The 24,969-nt window shown below is 44.5% G+C and overlaps 1 non-coding gene across 1 annotated transcript; it reads right to left on the reverse strand.

The window, feature by feature from the left end:
* Nucleotides 1-6,115: 6,115 nt before the first annotated feature.
* RNVU1-26 (RNA, variant U1 small nuclear 26) lies at nucleotides 6,116-6,277 on the reverse strand. Its single transcript, XR_007067112.1, has one exon. It is a non-coding gene; the product is annotated as a U1 spliceosomal RNA (small nuclear RNA).
* Between the last annotated feature and the right edge of the window lie 18,692 nt (nucleotides 6,278-24,969).

A 24,969-nucleotide genomic window follows, 5' to 3' on the forward strand; every position in this document is an offset into this window, starting at 1 on the left:
AGGATTGGGGTCAGGCAGCCCCACTTCTTAGTTATGCGTAGACTTCTTAGTTTACTTGACCCTCTTCATTTTCAGATTTCATTTCTGTAAAATAGCAATGGGCTTTGTAGAATTGCTTTTAGAGTATTGTAAGATAACTTAGGTAATACCTCTAACAAAGAGTCAAACAGATATTGGACATATAACCAATGTCTGGTACCGGCTTTCCCCTCCTTTCACAAGCTTAATGGCAATGCAGTTAAGTCAAGGACCTGGATCAGAATTACGGCATGAGGAACACACTCCATGTTTGTGCACAACCATTCCTGGATGACTTTTCAAGGGTCTTCTCTTTTCTTCCACCTGACAACAAGTTCTCCAACTTCCCTACTTGGAAGTGGCTGCCTGCCATGAGATAATCCCCTTTCTAATTTGTCCTCCCATGAACAATGCACCCAAGGAGTCCTTCCTCTTACTCCATGTCTCCTTGAGCCTGCAGAATGGAGCTCAAGTTTGTTAGAGCAGCCACGGTTCCCGCACCACCTCCCCTTCTGCCTTGCGGGCTGCCAAGCCTGCGTCCACCGTGCGCGTGAACTCCAGCATCAGGAAGTTTCATGCGTGTGCCCCGTGCTCCTATCTGGGCTCACGTGAACGTGCTCTTCTCTCTTTCTGAAATGCCCCTTTCCTTTGAGCGATTGTGGAAATCCTCCTCATCTTTTACAACTAGTCTCAGATGCGCCCTCCTTCCCGAAGCCTCCTCCGAATGGCCTGTCTACACATGGCCCAAACTTGGTTTCAGATCATTAAAATAGAAGGACAAAAATGAATGGTGTGCAGGGAACACACAGACAGCCTGTGGCATGGTTGGAAGCCGTGGTCTGATCTATGGCGAGCCCTGAGACCACGACTGTTCTTTGATTTTTGCTGCAGCCCTGAGAACCCTGTGGATCTGCTCAGGCATCTTGCTGCTCTTGCGATCGAGCCCTTTGTTTCTCTGCCTATCTTGTTTCCTGCTTTTCACTTTCTTGTTCTCACCTGGCTGATTTGTAAATAATAAAGTAACCGAAGTTAGACAATTCCAGCTACTTAAGATAACTGTGTTTCCAGGGAATCTGTTTCATGTGTAGAGAGGAAAAAATAAGTAGTCACAATCCTGGATTTTCTATGTGAATCAGTTTGCTTAGAGAGCAGCAGCTGTTAAAATATACATGATATTTGAGTTCAAACGGGAGCAGAAAGTATACTTAGTGTGGGCCAAAGAAAGGCATTTCAACGACAGGGCTCTTTCATCTGGAGTGGCGTGCCTAATTCTGATTTAGAGAAAAGCAGGTCTGATATTGTGCAGTGGAAAAGGAGTCCTGGGGCTGGGCATCAGAAAATCAGCTTTCAGACACTTCCTCCAGGTTGTAGCTGAGAAACTTGAGGCTCTTTAGTGAGATGAAAAAATAGTAGGCGTCTCATCCAGCACAGAACCATATTGTCACAGTGTACACACAGATGGCTGAAGGCAGAAAACACCACACCAGTTCAGTTCCCCCCAGTGAAACCTATCTTGCCTTGGTGGAAAGAAGTCACCAAATCTGAAGGTTTATCATGAACAGGCAAAAGAGTTTCACTTGTTTTCATGACTCAAAACATTTGGCTTAAACTGCATATCTCTCCATTTTAAATGTAAATTATAATAGGGAAACAGGAGGGAAATATGCAAGATTCTGGAAAACCTGAAGTTTCCATGTTTATCTTTTCTTTAGTTCCTTGCTCTTTAGAGTCAACCAACCCATTCCCTAGATATAGTTATAAAAAATGGCTGGGGTAAGAAAAACAAGTTCGGTGATATTTTTAAAACTGTATGCACAGTCACTTGGAGACCCTTGAATGATGTTAGGAGACTGAGCTTCCCATACTCACTGGGACACACACAGTTGCTCTTGTTTGTAAGAGAGGACGCTTCTGAAGTGTCATTTACTCTGTTGCTAGTATCAGCCTGCCTTCCCCTTGACCCCTGCCTTGTGGCCACCACTGTATCTCATGTCCACACCCTTCCTTGGCTGGGGCCCTGGAAGCCAGGGCATACTGAGTGGGACAGCTGGCAGGGGCTCGGGCTGGTGCGGTCACTGACAAAGAATCCTCCTCCGGCCTGTCAGTGGCAACTCTGCAGCTGTTGGCCCACATACCTGGCATACCTCCATCTCCAGGCAACTGCTGGGTGTGGGCAGGGATCCCAGCAGCACCCACTGGCGTCGGCTGCCTCCCACAATGCCAGCCCCCAGGTAGCCAAGAGGAGTGTCCAGGTGTCGGGGAGAGAAGCTGAGAGAAGCAGCGAGGGCCGTGGTTGTGGGAGAGAGGAGGAAGTTGGGAGGGTCACCCACACACTTACGGAAAGCTTGGTGCAAAGAGAAAGAGACCGCCTTTCAAAAACAGCCCTGCTCTACCATCCTGAACCTAGTCCTGATCATGCCTTGAAAAAATAGATTCCCAAGTGGGTCTTGCCTAAATAATGTAAGTGGACGTGGGAAAAGCACGGACTTGTCAGCAGTTTCAGAAGGTTCCTTGCTGCTGGTGACTTTGGAAAACTCCCTTAACCAGCGTGAGCCTCCATGTCTGCCTCCATATCCTCCTCCAGAGCAGGGGACTGTGTACCTTCCCCCAGGGAGGCCTGGAAGGATTTTGTTGGGTTTTCCTGATAAACTCACTCAGTGGATGAAAGGGGGGATGTTTGTAAAGTTGTCATATTTATGTTGAATGTAAGATCACTGAACTCTCACTGATATGCAGAAATCAACCTTAACGAGCGCTATCTGCAACACAAGAGATTTGTTTTCATGAGTACACACCTAGACGATGAACCTGTGCACACGACTTCATACTTTAAAAATGTCTCTTTTTTATCTTGCAGTTCTTTAAATACTAACAAGAATGGTTTTTAAAAGTGTTTTCAAATGTGAAAAAATACATATGACATAAAATTGATCATTAACCACTTAAGATGTGCGCAGGTCAGTGGCATCATGCACGTTGACAGTGCTGTGAAGCCATGACCACCATCCAGCCACAGAACCCTTTCATCTTGCAAAATTCAAACCCTGCACCCACTGAACAACAACCCCATTTCTCCTTCCCTCCAGCCCCTGGCAAGCACCATTCTATTTTCTCTTGCTATACATTTGACTATTCCAGGTACTTTATATTACTTTTAATGGCAAAAACCACAATAACTTCGCACCAACCTAAAATGAGTTGAATCATGTAGTATTTATTTGTTTGTTTGTTTGTTTATTTTTTTGACTGGCTCACTTCGCTTAGCATAATGTCCATTGTTTATTATCAGCAATTACATTTTAAAATTTCTAATCTTAGAAAAAGAGGCATACTGTTGTCAATGAGAGGTCAGCAGTTTCAGAATATATGAATAGAGGACAGACACAATAGACTTAAAAATTATTACCATTCGTTGTGCCAAGAAAACTTGCAAAAGTGTTCTTTCTCTGATGTAAGCATGCCAAAGGTCTGAATGTGTACACATGTATGTTACTTCCCCCACTCCTCTTTTCTTTCATTTTTATCTTTACTTTTTTCTAGGTAAGGACCGATTTTATTGTGGGGTGAAAAGTAACATAGAGCTGTACATTTTAAAGTGACTTGTATTCTCTATGTTAAGCTCAGTAAGTTGCCTCTGCTGCAGGTTGTAGGTATCTGTGTTTAGCCCTGCATTCTATCTGCTCATTTCCCCTGTCTTTAGCACAGCTTGCCTCTCCCCATCCGCACAACCCTGCCTAATTCTACTTGCTTTCTTTGACTCACTCATGAAGATTAAGTAGGTACTAAGTAAAATACAAGTATTTTACTTATATCTAAATCTCATGCCTTTTTAACAATATCAATATTACTTTTCTCACTTCAGAGATAAGGAAACTGAGGCTCGAAGATCTTATGTAACTGCCTATAGCCTAGCATCCATCTCAATGGGTGTCAAGAACTAGATCGAGTGTGTTTTGAGACAAATCCCAGAGGCTGCCCTGCACAGGATGTGGCAATCATCACTGCCTTAGTCATCTGACTTTTGCTTTTGGTTTGTGTGCTTGTTTGAGACAAGAGTCTTGCTCTGTCACCCAGGCTGGAGTGCAGTGGCACAATCACTGCCTCCTGCAACCCTTGCCTCCTTGGTTCAAGTGATTCTCCTCCCTCAGCCTCCCAAGTAGCTGGGATTATAAGTATATCCCACCACACCCAGCTAATTTGTGTGTGTGTGTGTGTGTGTGTGTGTGTGTGTGTGTGTTTAGTAGAGATGGGGTTTCACCATGTTGGCCATGCTGGTCTCGAACTCCTGACCTCAAGTTATCTGCCCACCTCGGCCTCCTAAAGTGTTGGGAATACAGGCATAAGCCACCATGCCCGGCCCTGACTTTTGCTTTCTATTGGGCTTACCTGTGTATTCTCACACTCTCGGGAGAACTCAACACTCCTGAAGAACACAGCCCATGACTCCTCATTTCTGTCTCCTGGCAAAGGCTAGCACAATATTTTGTGCAAAGGTTTTGCTTTCTTAATGATAAGTGAATGAAATATGGAAAAGTTTTAACATAAAAATATATTCAAGTTAGCATTTTGCCTGAAATTTATACTTAATTACAACTAGGAAATTAAGTGTACATGATCAACATATATGTATATATCATTTTCCTATTTGAGTACTGACAAGATGGAGGAAAGGCAAGGAAAAGCTGGAGAATTTGAAATATGCATGAGGTCATTTCCGTTCCAGAAATAGGAGACATAAAGTAGAGGTCGAGATCATTGACAGTGGGCTTTCTCGAGTCGGGTAGAGAAGGGGTCAGTCCTTCTAGAGCTGGATCCAACCGTGTGTGGCTCTCTACCCAAGGGTATCCACCTGCTCTCCATTCCCTCATCTGTCCACTGGGGTGCACACAGCACCTCTCATGGGAATTAAAAACGGTGGTGCCTGAGCAGCTTTCAAGGAGCCAGTGGCACTCGCTGCTCAGTGCACATGAGCTAGAGAGGAGTGGAGGCCTCAGCACAGGGCCTGGTACTAACTCGAGAGATATTTGTTGTGCCCTATACCCAGCAGATACTGAGTACATGCTCAATGTTGTCATTATTTTGATAGATATTTTCTTAAATCTGGATTATCATCCTTCAGTTTGGATAAGACAGACAATATTGATGGGTTGGGGTACTTTGTCAAAGAATGTAAAGAAAGATAATGTGAAGAAAGGCAATTTTGTGATTAAAAAGGAAACTTTATTCTTAGATTTGTTAATAAGTGTCTCTTACTGAATTATTTGCTTATTAGGCAAAACAGTGATATCATTGAATCATTCTAAAATTCCTTCCCTTTTATGTCTTGAGGTTATGAACACATGTAAGGCACCTCACCTGGCATCTGACAAACTCAACGAGACAATGAATGAACCAGAATAAATAATCATCTATTTTTTTTTCCCCCTGAACATTTCTACAGTTGAGACAGTCTTAGAATTTCTCTCTTGCATGCCAGGATATTAGACTGTTGAAATTGAATTCTTTTTTTTTTTTTTTTTTTTTTTTGAGACGGAGTCTCGCTCTGTCCCCCAGGCTAGAGTGCAGTGGTGCGATCTCGGCTCACTGCAACCTCCGCCTCCAAGGTTCACGCCATTCTCCTGCCTCAGCTTCCCGAGTAACTGGGACTACAGGCACCCGCCACGACACCTAACTAATTTTTTTGTATTTTTTAGTAGAGACGGGGTTTCACCGTGTTAGCCACGATGGTCTTGATCTCCTGACCTCGTGATCCGCCTGCCTCGGCCTCCCAAAGTGCTGGAATTACAGGTGTCAACCACCGCGCCCGGCTGAAATTGAATTTCTTTCTTTTCACCAACTCGAATTTCTTCTTCTCATGTAAGGTCATCTTACATAAGTGAGACTCCTTTGTTCCCTTTCCCTTAATAACAAGCCTACACGGATGTGAAGGTGGTGAACGCACCTCTTCTCATCTCAAAACATCCACGTGCTCTTCCATTTTTTTCTAACAAAGAAGGGAGAGGAGGTGACATGAAAACACACCATGGATATTGTTCAGCATTTGTAAAAGCTGAAAGTATCACTTGGTAGACAAACTGCTTTTTGCACTACAACCTCCAGAAGAAAGCGCGAACGCAATTCCCCACCACCACAAATTACAGTCCAGTTTCCCCACATGTGGAAGTAACAGGAGTCAGTCAGCACATACTGAGTACAATGGAGAAATCGCCCCCGAGAAACACCAACTTCATGGCCGTATTTTCTCCTGTTACGTAAGTATGAATGAACGCCCCTCCGCCCTGCCACAGCTCCATACGCCTCACCCCTTACACGCATGGTCACTTGGCCCGCGCATTCCCCCACCCCGCCCCCATGCCGCCTCAAGTCTTCCTAGCCCTGACACACAGCTGGGACTATCACGTCCAACCGGAGGTCCTGGACTAGCTCCCACAGCACGAGAAATCTTTCGTGGTGAAGCAGCAGCCCCTGAGCTGCCTCCTCTGCATAGGAATCGCCCTATCTGTGATGTCACCGACAGCGCCTTTCCCGTCCCCGTCTGCTCTTCCGCCCCACCCTCTGCCACTCGGCCGACCAACCAGCTGTGGGAGCGGGCGGAGGAAGTGACACCTGACTCTACCTCCTTTCCCTCCCATCCCCGTCCCTGGTCTCTCCCAAAGAAGTAGGTTCTTAGCCTGTGATGCAAAGGACCCCTTTGGCGGCCAGCTGGAGCCTGTGCGCTTTTCTTCAAATAATGGCTTTTAAAGCTCAGACTAGAAAGTTTAGGATTACAAAGAAAAACGGTTCTTTTCACATACGGTTATCCTTGTGATGTAGCATTTCGCTTGACATTTGGAAGTCGTTCAATATCAGAGAGAAACCGTATCTATGAAACTAGAGAGGCTGCTCAGATGACTGCAAACCAGCCATCCTTACTTGTTTTATCACTAGGAGTATTATAAAGACGGTCGTCCAGTTTCATGAATCTTGTAGGGTTTTTTTCAGATACAGCAATGTACAAAAATGTGCTGCCCCAGCAGAGCACACTGGACATTCAGGCATGGTGCTGGAGTTTGTCATCTCTTCACTGCCTTCTCTAGACCTTAGCGCTTACCTCATGTTAACACTTTATATGCTGCGAAGACAGAAACACAGTCATCCAAATTTGGCAAAAATATTTGGGAGAAGTTTTATTTCAGGTGTTTAACTGATTACTTTTAATATGTAGACTACAACACCAAACTCTGAGAATACTCCACAGACTTATTAATGGTTTCCACCCCCGTCTCTGCAAATCTATCAGGCAAGTTTTTCCTGCCCTTTACTTTCATATAAGCTGAGTCACAGTCTGTAGTGGGTTTTGGGGGGAGTGTTACTGCCCAACAGGTACACCCTGCCTGCTGCCTAGACAGAGCCAATTTTTCGACACAGGGGAATTGCAATAAAGAGCTGCACTCTTTATTTGGTGATTGGGGGCCGGTGAATTGAGAGTTCTGCTTGGCCAGGTCGGAGATGAAATCACAGGGAGCTGAAGCTGTGGTCTTGTGCTGGGTCAGTTCCTGCTTGGGGGCCACAAGACCAGCTGAGCCAGGTTATCAGTCTAGCTGGTGCCAGCTGATCCACTGAGTGCAGGGTCGGCAAAATATCTCAAGCACTGATCTTAGGTTTTCCAATAACGATGTGATCTCCAGGAACAATTTGGGGAGGTTTAGAATCTTGCAGCCAGAGGCTACATGACTCCTAAACCATAATTTCTAATCTCGTGGCTAATTTGTTAGTCCGGCAAAGGCAGTCTAGTCCCCAGGCAGGAAAGGGGTTTGCTTTGGGAAAGGGATATTATCATCTTTGTTTCACAGCTAAACCATAAACTAATTTCCTCCCAAAGTTATTTCGGCCTGTGCCCAGCAATCAACAAGGACAGCTTGTACGTTAGAAGCAAGATGGAATCAGTTAGATCAGATCTCTTTCACTGTGGTAATTGTCCCAGTTGTAATTTTTGCAAAGGCGGTTGCAGAAGCAGAGGCATAGGTCTGACTTCTTTCACTCAGTCCTATGTCTATGAATTTTTCATGTTATTCATATGGTTATTTGGTTCTACGTGTATTCCTTTGTAGGAATATACATTAACTTATGTATTTCTTCTACTGTTGTTGAACATGTTGACCTAAAAGAAGGAGGCTGAAGCACAAAATATAATTTAGAGTTTACTTGAGTCAACATGAAGACAACTGCCTGGAAGACTCACACCAAGGAAGCTTGGATCTGAGCTCCCTTTGGCCTTTGTCACAAGCAGGTTTTTATTTTTTATTTTTTATTTATTTATTTATTTTGAGACGGAGTCTCACTCTGTCGCCCAGGCTGGAGTGCAGTGGCGCGAACTCTGCTCCGCCTCCCGGGTTCTCGCCATTCTCCTGCCTCAGCCTCCCTAGTAGCTGGGATTACAGGCACCCGCCACCACGCCCAGCTAATTTTTTTGTATTTTTTTAATAGAGACGGGGTTTCACCGTGTTAGCCAGGATGGTCTGGATCTTCTGACCTCATGATCCGCCTGCCTCGGCCTCCCAAAGTGCTGGGATTACAGGCGTGAGCCACCGCACCCTGCCCACAAGCAGGTTTTTAAAGTTCAAAAGCAGGGACAGACAGTGGGCTGATAGGTGCCTATCAGGAATTCTCATTGGTTTACAGAAATAACATTGCTTGGTGATTGGCTATATGTTGTTAAGTTATAGGGTATGGGGGTATAGGGATTGGTGTGGCATTATTAGGTTAATTTACAGCTACTTAAGGCAATAGCAAGCAGTTTCAACGGATGAATACATAGCTCAGCGCAGCTCAAAAGGAAGGAGCGGAAAGTGGTTGCTGTCTCGATTTAACGTCTCTCTGGGCCTGATCATTTGAAAGGGCTCACATTCCTCAGATAAAAAGTTTTTTTAATCTTTCTTCTTGAAAGCATCGATGATCAAAAGCTAAGTCAAGGGTGTCCTTCTTTGCCAGAAAGGCTCATTCCCGGATAGTCCTGTCCCAAGCAGGGGACAGGGGAGGAAAGAAGCCACCTCACTGAGGAATTTTTAAGAATGCCCAAAAGTCCAATTGAAAGGGCATTACAGCCAGGCATGGTGGCTCACACCTGTAGTCCCAGCACTTCAGGAGGCCAAGATAGGTGGATTGCCTGAGTCCAGGAGTTCAAAACCAGCCTGGGCAACATGGTGAAACCCCATCTCTACAAAAAATACAAAGTTAGCCAGGTGTAGTGGCACACACCTTAGTCCCAGCTATTCAGGAGGCTGAGGTAGGAGGACTGCTTGAGCCTGGGAGTTTGAGGCTGCACTGAGCTAATATCACACCACTGCACTCCAGCCTGGGTGACAGAGTGAGACTCGGTCTTAAAAAAAAAAAGGGCATCATAGAGTGGCAAAAAAAAAAAAAAAAAGAGAGAGAGAGAGAGGGGCCTCAGTTAAGTCTACAGCTGCTGTCACTTATTGAATCATCTCTACTCTTCAGAATACCATGAAATTAGTTTTCCCAGAAGTAAAACGATGAGAGATACATAACAATAATGACATTGCACTTCATCATTCCATGCCCTTCGACATTTATAGGGCCATGGATGGTGATCTTTTCAAGAGACAAAAATAAACGCCAAACAGGTAGGTGCGCTATAACTTGAGTACATCAGCTTTTGGGCATTTAAACCATGGGTCAGAAATTTAGAGCAAGAGGGCAGGTTGGATCTTGATAGCAGGAGGGAGTGTTTTTCTTTTAACTTTCCAGTGGCATCATGGTGTTAACCACTGTTATTTCAGAGTGAAGAAACAATTTTTTGTTTGGTTGGTTTTGTACTTTTTATTTTTATTATAATTACTTTTTAAGACAAGGACTCTGTCTCCCAGGCTGGAATTCAGTGACAAGATCACAGCTCAGTACAGCCTTGACCTCTTGACCTCCAAGGCTCAATGGCTCATCCTCCCAAGCAGCTGGGACTACAGGCACACACCACCACACGCAGCTTATTTATTTATTTTTTGAGACAGGGTCTCATTCTGTTGCCCAGGCTGGAGTGCAGTGGCGTCATCAGGGTTTGCTGCAGGTTTGAACTCCTTAGCTCAAGTCATCCTCTCACCTCATGCTCCTGAGTAGCTGGGACTACAGGTGGGCACCACCACACCCAGCTAATTTGTATATATTTTATAGAGCCAGTGTTTCACCATTTTGCCCAGGCTAGTCTCAAACCCCTGTGCTCAAGTGATCCTTCTGCCTTGGCCTCCCAAAGTGCTGGGATTACAGGCAATTATTTTGACAATACGATTACGATGGGTTAAACTGAGACTTGCAGCAGGAAGGTTAGGGTGAGTCAGACAGATTAGATAAACAGGTTTTGCTTGATATGACCCTGAGTTGCATCGTGAGTGCAATCAGGAGGAATACAGGTGAAATTTAGCACAGGATGTACCAATGGGTCATTATGGTCAAAAGTGGTTTGTGGTTTTGAGTGGCAAACCTGGAACCTTGTCAAATTTCCCACAGAGGTAATGGTTTGTGAGATTCTAATCAGAGAATTATCCCTCCCTGCTGTAATCAAATTAATTAGGGACAGTAAAACAGAAATCTGATCACAGGTATTCTGCTATGTATGTATGTATGTATATGTATATACACATACACGCAAGAGGAGTAGTGTGTCATATCTTAAGAGAATATGCATATAGGGTGATTTTACCAAAACCACCAAGAGACAACCCCTACAACTTAAAGGAGCCCTAATGGTGTATGTATTCCAGTCCGCAAAAAAGAGACTAACTCTCTCAGGCACGGTCAGCACTGGAATTGTAACTGATTATACAGGCCAGTATCTTGGGTGAAAGCGGACTACACCAGATGTCAGCTACTTGCCATCTCTGTCAGGAAGATTGTGAGTTACCTCTAAGTGAAAATCTCCACTGATAGATGTCCACTCTGGTAGGGTTGCCTTTTACAAGAGAAACATGAATCCATGTGTCAACGCCCTTATGTTTACTGGCACAGATTGGTCAGTAATACCTGTTGTCAGTTAGGTGCAGTGGCCTATGCCTGTGGTCCCAAATATTTGGAAGGTTGAGGCAGAAGGGTGGCTTGAGCCCAGGGGTTCAAGGCTACAGTGAGTCATGATTGTGCCACTGCATTCTGGCTTGGGGAATAAAATGAGATCCCATCTCAAAAAAATATATAAAGTAATAATAATAGCTGATGTGGTCCCTTCCAACAGTCTTGGGGAGAATATTTTATTTGATGTTGTTTCCAGTAAACAACAACATCTCCAGGTTATAGGCCAAGATTTTTGATATTTTCATCTCCCAGGAGTTCATTATGAATGGAATTCTTTGTTAATGTAGAGTTCTTAGTAAGTTCTGTGAGATCTTAGCAGTAATGGAGAATGTCACCTTTAAGAAGTGCAGATTCATAAGCGCCTTCATCTAACCACTGCAAGGGTCTTCCTGTTATTATTTCAAAGAGGGAGAGTGTGGACGTTTTCCACAACCAGTGGGAGATCCTTGTCCAAGAAAGGTTAAAAACTTCTGTTAGCTTTGCCAATTGAGTTTTTATTGTATCATTAGTGCATTCCATCGGCCCAGAGGATTAGGGGTGACAGGCACAATGGAAATGTTGAGACTTAGGCAAAAATGTTACAAATGGATCAAATTACCTGACCAATGAAGTGTGTTCCTCGGTTTCTATGGAGTTCAGATGGCACCCCCCATGAGGAATTACCTTTTCTAATCACAATCTACCTACTACTTGGGCTGTGGCTCATCGGCATGGAAATGCTCACCCCAGTGAGCATATACAAATTAGCACCAGAAAGTATCTGTGACCCTGAGATGGAGACAGCTGGATAAAGTCTAACTGCCGTGTCTCGAAGGGTCCCAAAGGCAAAATGTCCCTGTGACCCATGAAGGGGTTTTCCAGGATTATGTTTGGGACAGACAGTATGGCAAGACTAAACATTTTCTGCAATCATAGGCAATGATTTTCAATACCATTGCTTTCCCCATGCCAACATTTTGTCTGAATTCCAATGAGTCAGCTTATGAAGTACTGTAAAAGGGTAATTGAAGCCTAAGGGATAGATCAGTGAGTGTATCATTGGGCCCATACCATATGACTGTTTCTGGAAGAAATTTGTTCCCTTTATCCTTCCAGAGATCCCTCTCCTGCTTGGGAGCTCCCACTTATGCTTCTTTTTTTTTTTTTGCCAGAGTCTTGCTCTGTCACCCAGGCTGGAGTGCAGTGGTGCAATCTCACCTCACTGCAACCTCCGCCTCCCAGGTTCAAGCAATTCTCATGCCTCTGCCTCCCAAGTAGCAGGGATTATAGACATGTGTCACCACACCAGCTAATTTTTGTATTTTTAATAGAGACAGGATTTCACCATGTTGGCCAGGCTGGGCTCAAACTCCTGACCTCAGGTGATCCGCCAGCCTTGGCCTCCCAAAGTGCTGGGATTACAGGCATGAGCCACCATGCCCAGCCCACTTGTACTTCTAATGAAGTCTTCAATGGGTCATAAGTCAGCAAGGTCATTTCGAGGAGTTCTGTGTCTGATGTCACCTTCAGAGCTGCATTCTTAGCTGCAGCATCAGCAAAATGATTGTCCTTGCTCTCCAGAATGTCTAATTTTGAATGAACACGAATTTTGATGATGGCCAAAATTTGGGTCTTCAAATTGCTTCTAAGAGGTCAGAGATTTATTGGTCATTTTTGATGGCTTGACCTGATGAAATCAGATACCTATGTTGCTTCTAAAGCATTCCAAAATCATCACCTACTCCAAATGCATCTCTGCTCCCAGTGTAAATGTTAGGCTGAGGGGAAGGATTGATTGAGCCCAGAAGTTCATTCAGGTCCAGCCTGGAAAACACAGCAAGATGTCCTCTCTACAAAAAAAAAAAATCAAAGAATTAGCTGGGCATTGTGGCATGCACCTGTGGTCCCAGCTACTCGGGAGGCTAAGGTGGGAGGATTGCTAGAGCTGAGAGGTTGAGGATGTGGTGGGCCATGATGGAGCCACTGCACTCCAGCCTGGGTGACAAAGTGAGGCCCTGTCTCAATCAATCAATCAATAAATCTTAACCACTTAAAATACCAATGACAGATTTGCTTGGCCTTTTAAGTGCATTGCTGAATTCTCCAATCTACATTTTTGGGAACAACCTGGGGAATGGCAACATGGAAGTATTTGGCCAAAATGCAGACCCTTTCATTGTCTGCTTTAGTCTGTTTTTAAAAATCCTCTAAAGAATTATTCCAATTCGCCCTTTTCAACCATTTAGTGGCCCTGCCTTCTTACACCACATGTGAATTAATTGATAAAAATCAGAATATTCGGGCTAAAAGTTTGGACAATTAAGTCAAATTTTCTCCCAAACCCTATAGGATCTTGGAGGCTGCTTTAGAATTAGAAGGGGAAATTGATTTAAATTTCGATCAGGGAAGTCTTTTTTATTTTTTATTTATTTATTTATGTATTTTGATACAAAGTCTTGCTCTGTCACCCAGGCTGGAGTGCAATGGTGCAATCTTGGCTCACTGCAAACTCCACTTCCCGAGTTAAAGCGATTCTCCTGCATCAGCCTCCCGAGTTGCTGGGATTGCAGTCATGTATCACCATGACCGGCTAATTTTTGTATTTTTAGTATAGACCGGGTTTCACCATGTTGTCCAGGCTGGTCTCGAACTCCCGACCTCGTGATCCACCTGTCTAGTCCTCCCAATGTGCTGGGATTACAGGCATGAGCCACTGCGCCCGGCCCAGGGAAGTCTTTTATAATATTCTTAATTCACATTTTGGTGAAGCAGTATACAGAATGGTAGGCTCCCTTCTTCCTGTGGAAGCCCCTACCTTGAAAGGGGCTGTCAGAACAGAAGTTTCAGGGGAGGGGCCAGAGCCCTGGGGACTTTCCTCAGGTGATGGTGATGGAAGAAGAGGCAAGGCAGAACCGGAGGGCTCAGGTAAGGGAGACTATGCAGGTGCAGGGGCAGGAGGAGAAGGAGCAGTTGGAGGCGAAAGAGACAAAGCCTCCTCAATATTTCTCAATTCAGAAAACGTGTCAGTTTACCTCCTTCAGCTTACTTCCTCACTGGAGGCAATTTTCACAGTTCTTTTAGAAATTTCTAGGTATTATTGGAAGTAAGTCTCCCATTTAATTTGGTTCTAAAACCAAATTTTTCCAATTGTGCACACTAATAAATTATTTTAAGCATTTCAAAATATCCCCATTTTCTTCATTCTGCTTATCAGTTTTCCTGGTTAGGTGGATCCAGTTTCTTGGATATTTACAAGAGGACGCTTCATAAGTGCTATACATAAACCCAGCTGATGTTTCTAAAGGTGGTTGTTTCTTCGCAGTGTGCTAAATTTTGAAGCTTGATTTCCCATAATTCAGGAGCTTTTCAGATGACCAAGGCCTGTGATGTGTTTTGGGTCACAGTGTGGTGCTTATGAAGTCACTCCTACAGATAACACCGGAGTTGTGTATCGCTGTCTCAGTGGTTCCCACTGTTTCTAACCACCAGGTGGCCACAGAGTGCATGTGCTATGAGGGACCCGTCCGACATATACCCTCCCAGAAGAGCAGGAAAGGGGGTTCATAAAGATGTTCTTCTGATGGGGAGTGTCCTATGAGGCCACCTTCACATGGTGAGTAATGACCCCGACACCTCTGCAACATCCCCGATCACTTGGAGCACCTGAATGGATTGGCGGAAGCAGATCACTTCTTTTCTTCAGGGCAGGGGAATGCACCTCCATGCGCTTTCCAGTTAAGAACTAACAGGAATTAGTCACAAATGAAAAGCTAAGCCCGAATGTTCAAAACAACATGCTACATAAAATGACACCACCAGGGCCTACCTGCCAATACCTTGACCCAGAACTTCCTGCTGAGGAACAGAGGCAGGAAAGGCAGAAGCTCTCTGGAGAGCTCTTTGCCTGACTGTGACCCAAACTTTCTGTCCTGATGCAGAGGTGGAAAAGGCAGTTATTTCCCCCGAGACTCAAACCTCTTACCCACAGGGTAAAGACAGAAAACCTCCATTCTAGAAAGGGAGAGCTGGAAAGGACACTCAAGCAAAGTCCAGGCCTTCAACCAAAGAGTGGGAAGGTCCAGATTTCAGGAGGATTCCCCACTTACTACTGCCCAACTCTTTCTCTCAGAGTCCAAACTTGAGGGCTTCAGAGCTGGCCAGGCACCCAGTCCAGGAGGAATGTGGTGTGATCTGAGAGATGAAAATACATGCCCCCTTATAGACTAAGACAGACTGTAAGTTTAAGGAAACAAAAGTTAGCTACAGGTCCAGGGTTCAGGGCTCATCTGGCATGGCAACGTCCTGAATTCCTATGGCTACAGAAAAAAACACACTGTTGCTAAACTCCTTAACAATAGGGGCTAGCAAGCAAATTGTCAAAATCTTCCCAGCCCTTCTCAACTGGATTTACAACCCAGATCACTAGAGCTCTGATGGGACAAAGGAGTGGCCTTCCATTCTTTCCCGATAAGCAACTGCAGATATCAAGCCAGTTTCAGCCATGTTACAGGGACTGCACACAAACCGACTTCGTGTCCAGTAGTTCACCTTTTGACATAAACAGCCAATTTCCACCTCATTTTAATGCTAAAATCCCTTCCCAATGTGAATATGGGGTGCATGTTACATATATGTTTACCCGTTGCACATGAGCTCAATACCCCTCAGAAATGGCGTTTCCCCAAACCTGCTGAATATGTATGACTCTATTGTGTGATACACACCCTGTGAGGCACAAAAACCAACCTGCCCTCTCTCTCTCTCTCTCTCTGAAGAAAAAGCACTTCTTCAAAGACACACACCAGAGACTGTCTCTTCCCGGACTGCAAACTGATCTCACCAATCAAATTCTACCTACTATGTAGCCACCCTGGAGGCCTTTGAGAGGACGGTCAGATGGTCAGAGATAAGTTGCTCTGAATCCTGCTCCCAGGGCCAAAAACATCGACCTAGAAGGAAGGGGCTTAAGCACAAAATATGATTTAAAGAGTTTGTTTGAGCCAGTGTGAGGATAGTTGCCCAGAAGGCTCAGAGCCAAGCAATCTTGCATATGGGTTCTGTTTGGCCTTTGTTACAAGCAGGTTTGTAAAGACCAAAAAGGGAGACAGGGAGTTGGCTGGTAGAAAGTTGCTTGTCAGGAACTCCCAGTGGTTTACAGAAATAACATTGATTAGGGATTAGCTATACATTGTTCAGCTACAGGGAATGAGAGATGGTGTCCAGTGCATGTGATTAGGTTACTTTATAGCTAACTGTGGCAATAGCAAGCAGTTTCAGTGGATGAATACATAGCTCAAAAGTGGGGAAGTGGCCGGTGGTGGTCATAATTCACATTTTGGTGGGCCAAGTTGGGCAGATCACCTTAGGTTAGGAGTTTGAGACCAGCCTGGCCAACATGACGAAACCCTGTCTCTACTAAAAATACAAAAAAAAAAAAAAAAAAAAAAATAGGGGAGCATCGTGGTTCGCGACTTCAGTCCCAGCAACTCGGGAGGCTGTGGCAGGAGAATTGCTTGAACCTGACTGGAGGAGGTTGCAGTGGGCCAAGATCCTGCCACTGCACTCCAGCCTGGGCAACAGAGTGAGACTCCATTTCAATACAATAAAAAAAAAATTTTTTTTAACTTAAAAGATTTTAGAAAGCAGGAAGTAGGATGTGGTTGCTGTCTCATTTTAATGCCTAGCTCTGGGCATGCTAAGTTGAAAGCACTCATTTTCTTCACATGAAAAAGTTCTTCTCTTTTCTTTCTTTTTTTTTTTTTTTTTAGAGACACACTCTCACTTACTGTGCCACCCATAAAGTGAAGTGGCATCATCTCTGCTCACTGCAACCTCCACCTCCAGGGATCAAGTGATTCTCAAGCCTCAGCCTCCCAAGTAGCTGGGATTACAGGTGCCAGCCACCATGCCTGGCTTATTTTTGTATTTTAGTAGAGATGGGGTTTCACCATGTTGGCCAGGCTGGTCTCGAACTCCTGACCTCAGATGATCCACCTGCCTCGGCCTCCCAAAGTGCTACGATTACAGGCGTGAGCCACCATGCCCAGCCAATACCATTAATTTAATCTACAGCTAAATCTATTATTTTTTCATGTTACAAATTCAACAAGAAAATTTTTCCCTAATGAAACATCACATTTAAAGCATAAGTAGAATTAAAAAATGTAATAGACAGTGTCTTGCTGTGTCATCCAGGTGAGAGTGCACTGGTGCAACCACAGCTGACCAACCTGGAACTCTGGGCTCAGGCAGTCCTCCCAGCTCAGCCCGCCTTTTAACTTCTTAGAGATGGCATCTTGCCCTGTTGCCCAGGCTGGCCTCCAACTCCTTGCCTAAAGCAATCCTCCCACATCAGCCTCCTGATTTTCTGGGATTACAGGTGTGAGTCAACCAGCCTGGCATTGCAGGGAAAAAAAAAAGTCAAGAAATTATTCTTCATTTTCTTTTATTTTGAGTTGAGGTCTTACTCTGTCACCCAGGCTGGAGTGCAGTGGTACAATTATAGTTCACTGCAGCCTGGATCTCCTGGGCTCAAGTGATCCTCCTGCCTCAGCCTCCCAAGCAGCTGGGACTACCAATGTGAGCCACTGTGCTGGCTAGTTTTTTAAAATCAGCTCATTTTTAAATTTGTAGAGACAGGGGTCTCACCATATTTCCCAGGCTGGTATCAAACTCCTGACTTCAATCCTTCTTCTCTCCTCAGCTGCCTAAAATGCTAAGATTACAGGTGTGAGCCACCACACCCTGCTTAATTTCCATATTTTAATTTTATATACGTAATTATTACTGTCCTTAAGATAATTGGGGCAGTAATCTCTTTAAAGTTTTAGAGACTTAATTTATCTATTCACTCCACTGGAAGAGTATGCCAATTGGTTTCATAAGAAAATATATTTATAAATCAGAAAATTTCTTTCCACCAATCTAGGGGGCATTCGAAAGCAAATAATTGTGTTAAGTAACATCGTTTAAAGTGAAAACAGATGCAATGGTATTTATTAACAAGGCTTATCAGTGAGCGAAACAAACTGAAAAAAGGAACATCATTAGATCCTTGGAAAACCCTCAGTGCTGAAAATCTGAGTGATTCTGTGATACCCTTTTGAGTCTGGCAGGGCATTCTCTTTCCCGAGCGTATAAAAGTGAGTAAATCATTTCTTTTCATCCATTTTCATTAAGAGCTGAACTTCCTTGATGTTCTGGAGATTATTAAATTTGATTTGTGGCCAGGCGCAGTGGCTTACGCCTGTAATCCTAGCACTTTGGGAGGCCAAGGTGGGCAGATCACTTGAGTTCAGGAGTTCGAGGCCAGCCTGGCCAACATGGCCAAACCCCATCTCTACTAAAAATACAAAAATTAGCCAGGCATGGTGTCACACGCCTGTAATCCCAGCTACTCAGGAGGCTGACGCACAAGAATCACTTGAACCCGGGAGGCCAAGGCTGCAGTGAGCCAAGATTGTGCCACTGCATTCCAGCCTTGGTGACAGAGCGCGACTCTGTCTTAAGCAAAAAAAATTTTTGATTTGTATAGTTGTGAGAAGTGCTTATGTTGCTGACTCCATTGCTTATCTGTGATCATATAAATCTCTTTTCCCCTTTCTGTAGTGTGATTTAAACTTAATCCTTAAAGGACATGTGTTTCAGCTGGTTAGAGGTTTTTAGCTACTAGAAACCTGAGTATACGAATCAAAGAAAACTGCTCCTTACCTGCCACAGACTTAGTTTTCTTTATGTACTAAGATTTCTTTCAGGTATAGTAATTTGTTAAAGCCAAGAGCTCCTATGGAATGAAGTTAGGTGGCGGGAGTGGGTGGGGCATTGAGTAGTAAGATCGTCCTTATAATAGAGATGCCGCTCTTGCAGATATTGACAGCTATCGGGCCCAAAAAATTGTTACCAAACATTGGAAAGACAAGATATGAGCAACTTCTGATTGCTGCAGTCTCAAATATCAAGAAATACCATTATCCTCAGGACAATGAATAGACAATCAAAAAAGACTCACAGACTAGATTAGCTGTCATGTATCACCAAACACCTTGTCAAACACCACCCAACAGAGATTGTCCCCAGAACTTCACTTCATAACATCAAAACCAGAAACCCACACTGATGCCACTGATGGCAGAAAACAATGATGCAAGAAAGAGAGAGAGGGAGATAGAGAAAGGAAGGACTTGCCCAATGACCATACTTAGTATATAAAAGCAAAACAGCTCAATTTCTGCTCATGAGAACAAGAACTGAGGGAACAAGAACCAGTGGCTCTAAGGATCCAGGTCTGCACCAGGGGCCTGTTAGGTGCAGGATTCTGTTGGCTCCAATGATGGGTGTCAGATGGATTAATTTTTATGGACATAGCCTCTGAAAGAAATCAGTCGAGGAATAATACAGAGACACTTGTCTGCATGCTCATTCTCCATCAATATAGAAGAGGAACTGGCATTAGATTGTGTTCATCAAATAAAAGTAAAATCAACATTTATAAAGAAAAGAGGAAAGGGGAGGAGAAAAAAATGACTGGGACCATTGTGATTTTGCTCCCTTTGGATAAGCAACTTGGCAGAAAGCTATCAAAGAGGTCACTATGACCTGTCTTCTCCGGACCAGTGTGACTTGGTCACCACAGCAAACAATTACAGGCTGGGCACAGTGGCTCATGCCTGTAATATCGACACTTTGGGAGGCGGAGTGGGCGGATCACTTGAGCTCGCAAGTTGGAGAGTAGCCTGGGCAACATGATGTAACTCTGTCTGTACAAAAAATACAAAATTTAGCCAGGAATGGTGGTGTATGCTAGTAGTCCCAGCTACTCAGGAGGCTGAGGTGGGAGGATCACCTGAGCCTGGGAAGGTTCAGGCTGCAGTGAACCATGATTACACCACTGCACTCCAGCCTGGATGACAGAGTAAGACCATGTCTCTAAAATAAATTAAGTTTGAAAAAGAAACAGGGCCAGGCACGGTGGCTCACACATATAATCCCAGCACTCTGGGAGGCCAAGATGGGAGTATCACTTGAGCTCAGGAGTTCGAGACCAGCCTGGGCAACATAGTGAGACCTCATCTCTAAAGAATACATATATATTTTTAAATAAACATATATAATAAAATATATACTATATTTTATTATACATAATATATAATTGTATATATTTATTATCATATAATTTTAATAAAATATGTATATATTTTATTATGTATAATAAAATAAAAAGAAACAATTACAGATGTTGGAGGACTTTAAAATATCTCGGCCAGGTGCAGTGGTTCAGGCTGGTAATCCCGGCACTTTGGGAGACTGAGGCAGGAGGATCACTTGAGCCCAGGAGGCTGAGGCTTACAGTGAACTATGATCATGCCACTGCACTGCAACCTGGGTAACAGAGTAAGACTCTATCTCAAAAAATAAAATAACATGTCTTAGAAGTTTAGCTGTCCATCCTATGCAACTGAATATCCGTGTGTAATGTCCACCATGTCCTTCTGTTTTACCTCCCCCTTACTTAAACCGGAAAGGCACTTGTCCCCATATTAGAATATCATTGGCACATGGCCGGGCATGGTGGCTCATGACTGTAATACCAGCACGTTGGGAGGCTGTTCAGGAGTTTGAGACCAGCCTGGCCAACAAGATGAAACCTTGTCTCTACTAAAAATACAAAAATTAGCCGGGCGTGGTGGTGCAGGCTTGTAAGCTGAGATCACTCCACTGCACTCCAGCCTGGGCGACAGAGCAAGATTGTGTCTCAAAAAAAAAAAAAAAAAAAAGGAAAGAAAAGAATATCATGGGCACATGTATAGAAAGTTTGTTAGGCCAGGTGCAGTGGTTCACACCTGAAATCCCAGCACTTTGGGAGGCCAAGGCAGGCAAATCTCTTGAGCCCAGAAGTTGGAGCTCCTGGGGGCAACCTGGGCAACAGAGCAAGACCCCATCTCTAAAAAAAAAGTTGGATTTGATGGTGCACACCTGTGGTTCCAGCTCTTCCGGAGGATCACTAGTGCCAGAGTGGCAGGGGCGGTGAGTTTGCAGTGAGCTGAGATCACGCCACTGCACTCCATCTTGGGTGACAGAGTGACACCTAGTCTCAAAACAAAAAGTAGGGGAGGGGAGAAAATTTGTTGTGTCAGCAAGTAAATGAAGAAAGAGACATTATTAGAGTTGAGAAATAAACTGGAATGTGATTTGGTACCTTTCCCACAGAAGATAAGTTTGCTAAATGTGCTGAAATTAGAAGCATTGTATAAGGCCCGGTGCAGTGGCTCATGCCTGTAATCCTAGCACTTTGGGAGACCTCGGAGGTGCCCGAGCCCAGGAGTTTGGGGACCACCATGGGCAACATAATGAAACCCTTTCTCTACAAAAAATACAAAAGTTAGCTAGGCCTTTCGGATGCGACAACTAATTGTGCCACAGAGACACAACCCGAGTGGCTTAGGACTCTGGGAAGATATAATCTCCCCCGTTTATCTAGTGATCGATAATGCATGAACGCTTTAAAAGCTGGAACAGGCGGCCGGGCGCGGTGGCTCACACCTGTAATCCCAGCACTTCGGGAGGCCGAGGCGGACGGACCACGAGGTCAGCTGATCCAGACCTTCCTGGTCAACAAGGTGAAACCTCTGTTTCTACTAAAACACAAAACATTAGCTGGGCGGGGTGGCGCGCGCCTGTATTCCCAGCTACTCCAGAGGCTGAGGCAGGGGAATCCCTTGAACCCGGGAGGCCGAGGTTGCAGTGAGCCAAGATCGCTCCACTGCACTCCAGCCTGGCGAAAGAGCAAGACTGTGTCTCAGGGAAGAAGAAAAACAAAACAAAACAAAACAAAACAAAACACCTGGAGCAGGCGTCCCTCAGTGGGCTCTAACCACCAAACTTTAGATTAACAGCCAAACGCGCTAACCGATTGTGCCACAGAGACACGTAGTGTACCTTCTTCTGGGCGCTATAGGAAGGGTGCACTCACCAAACACTCCCCAACCCTCCCATCCTCAGAGCCCACCCGGCAGTACAACTGTGAAAGGCCTTGGAAAACTGGAGCGATGAGAGGGGTGAATCGTGTTGGTCTCATTGGAGACCCGCAGGTTGGGAGATTCTGGAACCAGGACGACCTTGCCCCTCACCTGCAGCAGAAGCCCCCGGAAACACCCGGCCCCGACCCGGACCTGAGCCGCCTGGGGGCCCAAGGGAAGCTGAACGCCCGGTGGGCTCCCGCGATGGTTCTTTGTGCCGCCTTGACCCAGTGAGGCAGCCTGTGCCCACCCTGCCCAGTCACTTTTGAGGCCGCTGCGGAACTTCCGCTGCCATCTTCGGATCCTGTGTCCCGCACGGGGGCTCCACCAGGGCAGGGATGGTGGTGAGGGTGGCTCGTGGGTCCCCTCGCGGAGAGCAGGGTCTGGCACTCACCAGCGCGCACGACTAGGACTTGTTGAATTAATCCATCGTCACCTTCAGCTTTTAGTCCTTTGAAGAGCCCCGAAAATGGAAATCATGAAATATTTTACCATGGGGAAGTTTTGATTTGTTTTTGAGACAGGGTCTCGCTAGGTCACCCAGGCTGGAGTGCAGTGGTGCAAACACGGCTCACTGCAGCCTCGACCTCCCGGGGCCATCGTCGCCTTTAGCTTTTAGTCCCTTGAAGAATCCCAAGAATAGAAATCATGAGATTTTTCCATGGGGAAGTTCTTTTTTCAAAGCGTTTATTCACGTTGATTTCTAGGCATCCCCCGGGGAGGGCAACGGGCAGGGCCTCCAGTGCACCTTCTGCGCGGTGGAGCCGCGGGGGCTCAGCTGAGCAGTGGTAGGGTCCTGGGGCGGGAGGGCAGGAGGGAAGGGAAAAGCAAAAGCGGGGAAAGAAGCCGGGGAGCGGTGGAACACACATCCAGACCTCCTGAAAGGCTCGTGCAGAGGCACAGGCTGGATCTTCTGGAGGTGAGAATTGTTTTTTGTTGTTGTTGTTGTTGTTGAAGCAGAATGGGGAGGAACTGAGGGGAAAATTCAGAGAGAACATGAAAGAGCTCCAAACGCGAGGACCTATAACTCCCCAAGAATAACATCTTCCAGAAGAACTAGACAGAAAACTGGGTGTCTGGGAACCCTGAAATCCCTGGAGGAGTAGCATCATCATGACCCTCTGTGTTCCTTTTGGCGAAAGGACTTGCTTCCCTTGTTTGTACAATTGTTTGTGTTTGTTAAATAAATAAAACCCTTTTCATATATCTTTGAAAGTACATTGGCTCTATTATTTTATGATTACAAACAATGCTGCAGTCATCATTCTTGTACACTTCTCATTGGCCACTAGTGTATTTCTATAGGGTAGAGGCCTGGAGAGCAGTTGCTCCAGCACAGTGATTACATGGTTTTTATATCATTCCATGTTCTTCTTCCCTTTGTTGGCTTATTAGCTATAACTCTTTCTTTCTTCTTGTCCACCGCATCTCCGACTTCTTTTCTGCTTTTGCTTTTTCAGTGATGGCTTTAGGGTTTCCAGAATACATCTTTATCAGTGCCATCTAGTGACATTCTACCTCCCCTTCTGGCCATTATGCTGGTGTTGTCATGTAATTTGGTTTTAGACATGTTATAAACCCCACAATCCATTATTATTGCTTTTGTTTAATCGGTCAAATTATTTTAAAAGATTTAAATAAGAAGAACATATATATTTAACTGTGTACATACCGATTTCCAGTAGTCTCCATTTCTTTGTGTAGATCCAGTTTTCTGTCTGGTATCCTTATCCTTAGGCCTGGAGGACTCCCTTTGCATTTCTTGTCGTGTGGGTTGCTGAATTCTTTCTTTCTTTTTTTTTTTTGTATGTCTTTAAATGTCCTTATTTCAATCACATTCTTGAAAGATTTTTCATTTTGGCATAGAATTCTAGGAAAACTTTATTTCTTTCAGTACTTTAGGATGTTGCCACTTTGTTTTTGTAAAACTGGCATAAAGCGGGCTTCTTGTACTTGTTATATAATTTTTGGAATGTGTATTTAAATTAAAAACATTAAAATGGGCTGGACAAGGTGGTGCACGCCTGTAGTCCCAGCACTTTGGGAAGGCGAGACAGGAGGATCGCTTGAGGCCCAGAGTTGGAGACCAGTGTGGGCAAGGCAGCAAGACCCTGTCTCTCTGTCTCTCATATATATACATACACATATATATATATATGTATATATACATACACATATATATATATGTATATATACATACACATATATATATATGTATATATACATACACATATATATATGTATATATACATATATATATACACACACATATATATACACACACATATATATACACATATATATACGTGCTCATGTGTATGTATATATATGTGTGTATATATATGCTCATATATATGTATATATGTGTGTGTATATATATACATATACACACATACATACATACATCGTGAATGTTCTAGATTCATCCTAAGTTCCACCAACAGTACACTTAAAGTAAAATGTGCCGAACCTGAGGGTCAAACCTACCTGCTGACGTGTAATTTGTGTTTGTGAGACATTCTCAACAGCATTTGCTTTCCCCTAGCATAGTGGTTTTCGTGTTTTCCTCACATCTGAATGTCTTCAGTGCAAAACCTGTCAGAATTCATTTCCTTTGCCGAAAGATTCTAAAATACTTTCTTTTTTTTTTTTTTGAGATCAGCGCACTGCAACTTCCACTTCCCAAGTTCAAAGGATTCTCCTGCCTCAGCCTCGTGAGTAGCTGGGACTACAGGCCTGAGCCAACACAGGCGGCTAATTTTTGTATTTTTAGTAGAGACGGAGTTTCACCATGTTGGCCAGGCTGGTCTCAAATTCCTGACCTCAAGTAATCTGCCCACCTTGGCCTCCCAAAGTGTTGGGATTACAGGCGTGAGCCACCTTGCCCAGCCTAAAATAC

Source organism: Homo sapiens, chromosome 1 (genome assembly GCF_000001405.40).
Source record: "Homo sapiens chromosome 1, GRCh38.p14 Primary Assembly".
Lineage (NCBI taxonomy): Eukaryota > Metazoa > Chordata > Mammalia > Primates > Hominidae > Homo > Homo sapiens.